Genomic DNA, 5,270 nt, shown 5'->3' with positions numbered 1-5,270 from the left:
TCATGAATTTTTTAAAGAATCCTTGAATTTGTCTTTCCATCATGACTTCAAGGATTCATGAAAGGGTGCAAGTTTGAGGTCATTTTTGAAACAAGAAGGACACTTGCTCTGGGCAAAGGTTCTGGGACCAAAGGTGCACCCTATGTAGAGAATGAAGGTCTTGACTTAACTGTGCCTAGAACCAGGTACGTGGTGCTAGGATTGGCAGGCTAAAGCTCACAGGGATCCATTTGAATATTGCTCTATCAGTATTTCAGGCTGTCATCTGTATTTCCCCTGTGGGGAGTAAAATAAAATGGAGTTCAGGTGAGATCTCAGCAGGCTAACTGTATTGAGGTTTGAAATGCTTCTCTTTAGATCATTGATGAGAATTGTGTTTCTACTCAGCCTGAATTGACTCAGCATTTAAGTTTATAGGGCTGTTGAATCAGCTTCTTTCACCGACACTTGAAAGTGAAAATTTACAAAGGAGAAGGCTTTGCCCCTGCATCCTCATCCCATACACCTGAAAGTTTTTTTTTTTCACTTGCAGCCTATGTTGGGGGCTCCCCGCTATGCTGACTGGGACGGAGCCTCAGGGCAGCTGAGAGGGCCCTGTGATCACCCTGTGCACCAGAAAGCTGAGATAGGGCAGCTCCAGCTGTTCTGCACATTGATTTTCATTTTAACTTTCAGGTAGTTCTTCTTTTCCTCCTTCAAATCTCCTGGTTTTCTTTGCTTTGGAATTGTGTGGCTGTCAGTCCTGAAAATGGCAAGACAAGGTGTCTGTAGGCTAATGAACAGCTGCAGGAAGATAATTAATGCTCTCCCACCTTCCTTGCAGCCTTTACCACCTCACCATGACACAGCCTGTAACATCTGTGCTTCCCAGAAGCTGAGCTGTAAAACACCCTTCCCTGCTCTTCACAAAACAACTATCAGATGGGCTGGCACCCACGTTAAGGGCAAAACTTACAAAACACTACAAAAGATGAGCTATGTTATTCCCAAGTCATAGATGTTGAGTCTTTCCATGAGAGAGGACCATAGAGCACTTGGCTTGGATGTGCCTAGCACCAGTACCTTGTGGATCGGGAGGTAAAGGGAGGGTGGAGATAAGCAATGCAATGAGGGAACTGCCTTGAGTCTTTTGTTTCAGGGCAGGTAGCTGAAACTGTAGGCTTTGGAACAGCCCAGAATTGCTTTGACAATTACCAGAGGGGAGGGCAGAGTCATCTCAGATTTCTTATTGTCTCATACAGGGGCAATATTCAAAAGAATAAACTCAACAACATCAACATCATTCAGAAGGGACATTGGTTGTAAGCACTTGTACAGCCATTTCAGTTCATGTACTGACTGCATATCAGACCTGTTCTCATGCTTTCTTATGATCCCTCTTCAATTGCAAACTTAATAATATTTATCTAGTACCTGCTTTATGCCAGAAATGGTTCTAGGTGCTTTAGATAATTTTGCACATGACAGGTATGACTAGAATTCTTTCGATAGTGATGTTAATTTTTTTCTGGGTCATGAATGCTAATTTGTGTGTGCTAGACATTAGCCCTATCTGCATCTGCAGCATCTCAGCCTCTTTTAGGTCTTGCCCACCCCACCCAACTATCTGGGTATTTCTGGGCATTCCTAGGGGGTGTCTCCTCAATGATCAAGAATGGTTCTCTCATGTGTATTTTCCTGATCCAGCCTCCTGATTGTGTCTTTTACCCACAGGCACTTGAGAGAGGTACCCTGCTGCTGCTTTCCTGACTAGGGTACTGTCTCCTGATGCTCTCACCTGCAAACTCTCCTGACATTACTGTGCTAATAAAGTGCATCAGGGTTGTATTTTGTCCTCTGCACTCTGGTGCAGCATTGCTGTGCCTTGAGTATCAGAAATATCCTTGGGAAAACAGCTCCTTCACTTCTGCTTTGGCTCCTGCCTATATTAGGCAGGGTCCAACTGGATCTCTTGCACATAGGATCCTCTCTATTTCTTTACTTCCCTTATCTCTCCACTACAAGAGCCCCGACCCTCTCTCATTGTAGGGCACTTTCTTCTCATGCAAATCATTTCCTAATGATCGTATCTGGCAAATGTGGTGGGAGTGTCACCGGCCTCACCGAGGCCCTTTTTGGCCTTAGCCAAGATCACCCGGTATCAAGTAATTAAACAAATGTCAAGTCTCAAATTGCCTTGCCCAGGGGATGTGTACTGGTGTTAAGGGAGAAATAATGTGTCATTATGCAAATGTGGTCCAAATAAGTTTGAATCTGAGCAGAAAAAGACTCTTTTTACCAAATAGACTCTAAAACAACCCTTTCCCAGAATACTGAGCCTTCCCAGAGAATCTGCCACTCAGAGAAACCACAGAAATTGAGGGTGGGGGTTTAGTACCACAGGGTTATAGAGGCACAGTCAGCATTTTGCAGAGCTGAGAACAGCACCTTCCTAGAAACTGAGTCAGTTTTAACTCTCAACTGCATTCCAGCCCCAACCAAGCCGTAGAGCCACAACCATGTGGGACCTGCTGAAGAAGGTCTAGTCAGGCCCAGGGTTAACCACCAATTCTTCAGAGAGGGACAGGAGAGGGACATCGGAATTCACTGCCTCTCCAGAGTGTTTCAGTGCTCACTAAATCCCTTTTTTTTTTTTTTTTTGACAGAGTTTTGCTCTTGCTGCCCAGGCTGGAGTGCAATGGAACCACCTTGGCTCACTGCAATCTCCGCCTCCTGGGTTCAAGTGATTCTCCTGCCTCAGCCTCGGGAGTAGCTGGGATTACAGGCACACACCACCAAGCCTGGCTAATGTTTTGTATTTTTAGTAGAGACAGAGTTTCACCATGTTGGCCAGGTTGGTCTCAAACTCCTGACCTCAGGTGATCCACTCACCTTGGCCTCCCAAAGTGCTGGGATTATGGGGGTGAGCCACCATGCCTGGCCTTAAATCCTTCTTTTTAACCTTCATAAATTCCCAACTTAAAAAACTCTTTAAATATTGTAAAAGTACAGATATCTGACCAGAGAGGGTACTTTCTGACTCAGGATTTAGCCTCTGATGCCTAGAGTTGGCAAAGTCATTACCTATTACAAGATTTAATTGCTTCTGAATGTGCCAAGTGTTCCCCCTTCATTATCTAATTTAACTTTCTTCCTTCATCTATGGATTCCATTCAACTTGAGCTTGGCATATGAGCTCTTTATGATAACTGGTGTAGGGTAAAATGGAATAAAAGGCAAGCCTTGGCCCTCATACTGCTCACAGTCTAGTGGGAGAAATAGACAAGTAAGTGGCATAGGGTGTGATAGCTGTAACACAGGAGTGTGCTAGATGCAAAGTGAGCCCACGGAAGAGATCCTGAAGCCAGATTTGGCCGCAGTGGGTAAGGGGTGGGAATAAGGAAGGCTTCAGAGTGGACGTGACTCCAGACCTGAGTCTGGAATATTCCTAAGCGTTACTTAAGTGAAAGGGATTCTCAGAGTAAACAACTCATATGTGAGTATGGAGGCTGGGAGAGCATGGCACATCTGAAGATCTGTGATTAACTGACTAGAGTTTAAAAACATGATGTGAGCATATCAGGGCTGTTATGAGACTTCTATGAAGAGAAGCCAGATCATGGAGGGCCTTGTACCTTAAGGAAATCATACTAAGGGGACGACAGCTTGTCCAAGAAGCAATGGGAAATCACTGGCAGATTTTAAGCCTGGGATTGACATGATCAGAATTGCTTTTTAGAATGCTCATTCAAGCTCCAAGTTTAATAGCAGTTGTATCATCATTCAGTGTTAGAGCTAAGGCAGAACTCTGTTTCTAAGGCAATATTGGAGACTCTGAGTACATGTCTGCAGTTTCCTGGTTTCTTCATGGTTTGCTGAAGAGCACAGAAGAGAAGCACTGCCCCATTCATTGAAGTCCATGAGTGGACTCCCACATGTCTTATGGGATTAGCATCTGAGAGACTTTGGTTGACCAGTTCTCAGTTCATATGTTCAAGCCAGCTCCACCATGGAGACCTTTGGATGTACCTAGTTTTGACAAAGTGAGTGATTGAAGAATAAAGTTGAAGAGCCTCAACTATTCTTAGAGAGCTATTTTAGTCTTGTCAGAAGACAATATGTTGACACAGATTGAAGTCACTGCTATGAGTGAGAGGAAAAGGTGGCTGCTGGTTGGCTTAAGGCAACTTCCCTGGTTGGTCAAGTGTTATTATTCTCAGCCTTATGGAATTCAACAGTTTTTATTATCCAGCACACCATTATTTGGACAGAAATAATACTTTTTCCACACTGTGTTATTTCTGGAAATTTGATGTGTTCCTCCACTGCTCTACCTGCCTGGAAGATGTTTTTCTAAAGTCAGGCAGAAGAAAACCTACATTGGCTGCTGAAAAGTGGATGCCTGCTATTCACAATGCAATTACCATGACAAGTATTTCTAATTGCCACTTCCTTTCCTGCAAGCTCTCCTTTTCTTCAGACATTGTGAATTTCTGGTAATCTTGGGTTATTATCACACTGAGCTGCTAACCTGAGTCTTGACACTCCTCCTGGAGACCCATGTCAGAAGTAATTACAGCTCAAGTGAGGTGATTCTTTCTTTGTTATTAGCAGTTGCTGGTGTTGGTATAGAGCATTGATTAGCAATTTGGAACAACGCATTCCTTGAGCTTTGAAACACGTTTTGTTTCTTCTGTGCCTTGGAGGACAGCACACATTGCTCTTTGTTCTTGCCTCCCTTTGCCCTTGTGTCTGTCTGTGTATTTTGAGAAGTTTCCTTTCATGCTCCAGTGATTTATTAACTTCTAATGTTATTTTCTTCTGTCTCTTGTTTTTCAAACCATTTGCTGGTTCTGTAGATGAAGTAGAATTCACCTCTTGGAATTAACGCAGTATGTTGTTTTGGGAGTTCTGAGAACTGAGAAAGGAACATTTAGCACCCCATAACCCAGGTCTTAGCCAATAGAAGTAGAGAAGACAGGGAGGGATGAAGCTGGTTTAAAAAGGAAGAAGGGAGAGGTAGGGGCTGCTGCTTGCACAGATGCCTATTTCCAAGAAGCCCACTTATTTTCTTTTAGACAATCCCCTTCCCTTCTCATTACCACAAGGTCTGGGATTACTATGGGGTGGGAGTAGGGAGTGAAGTTTATATTGATAGCTCTGGAAGGGGCCTGCTCAGCTGTTGTTTCTGTCTTCTCTCAATGGTGAGTGTGCAAGCACATATGCTGCTCATTAGCTCATCCTTAAATGTCACCCCTGTTCTAAAGAGGCCCTCTTGCACGTGGCTGTGT

The 5,270-nt window shown here is 43.9% G+C and overlaps 1 annotated feature.

Moving 5' to 3' along the window:
* Positions 4,096-4,847: an enhancer, noted in NCBI's record as "OCT4-NANOG hESC enhancer chr1:177763543-177764294 (GRCh37/hg19 assembly coordinates)". NCBI's record gives its function as "activates a minimal SCP1, AML or CMV promoter by ChIP-STARR-seq in naive H9 embryonic stem cells {active_cell/tissue: H9 hESC(naive)}" and the evidence as "EXISTENCE:reporter gene assay evidence [ECO:0000049][PMID:30033119]".

The sequence above is a fragment of the Homo sapiens genome, chromosome 1, assembly GCF_000001405.40.
Source record: "Homo sapiens chromosome 1, GRCh38.p14 Primary Assembly".
Taxonomy (NCBI): Eukaryota; Metazoa; Chordata; class Mammalia; order Primates; family Hominidae; genus Homo; species Homo sapiens.
This window is presented reverse-complemented; position numbering and strand designations above follow the sequence as displayed.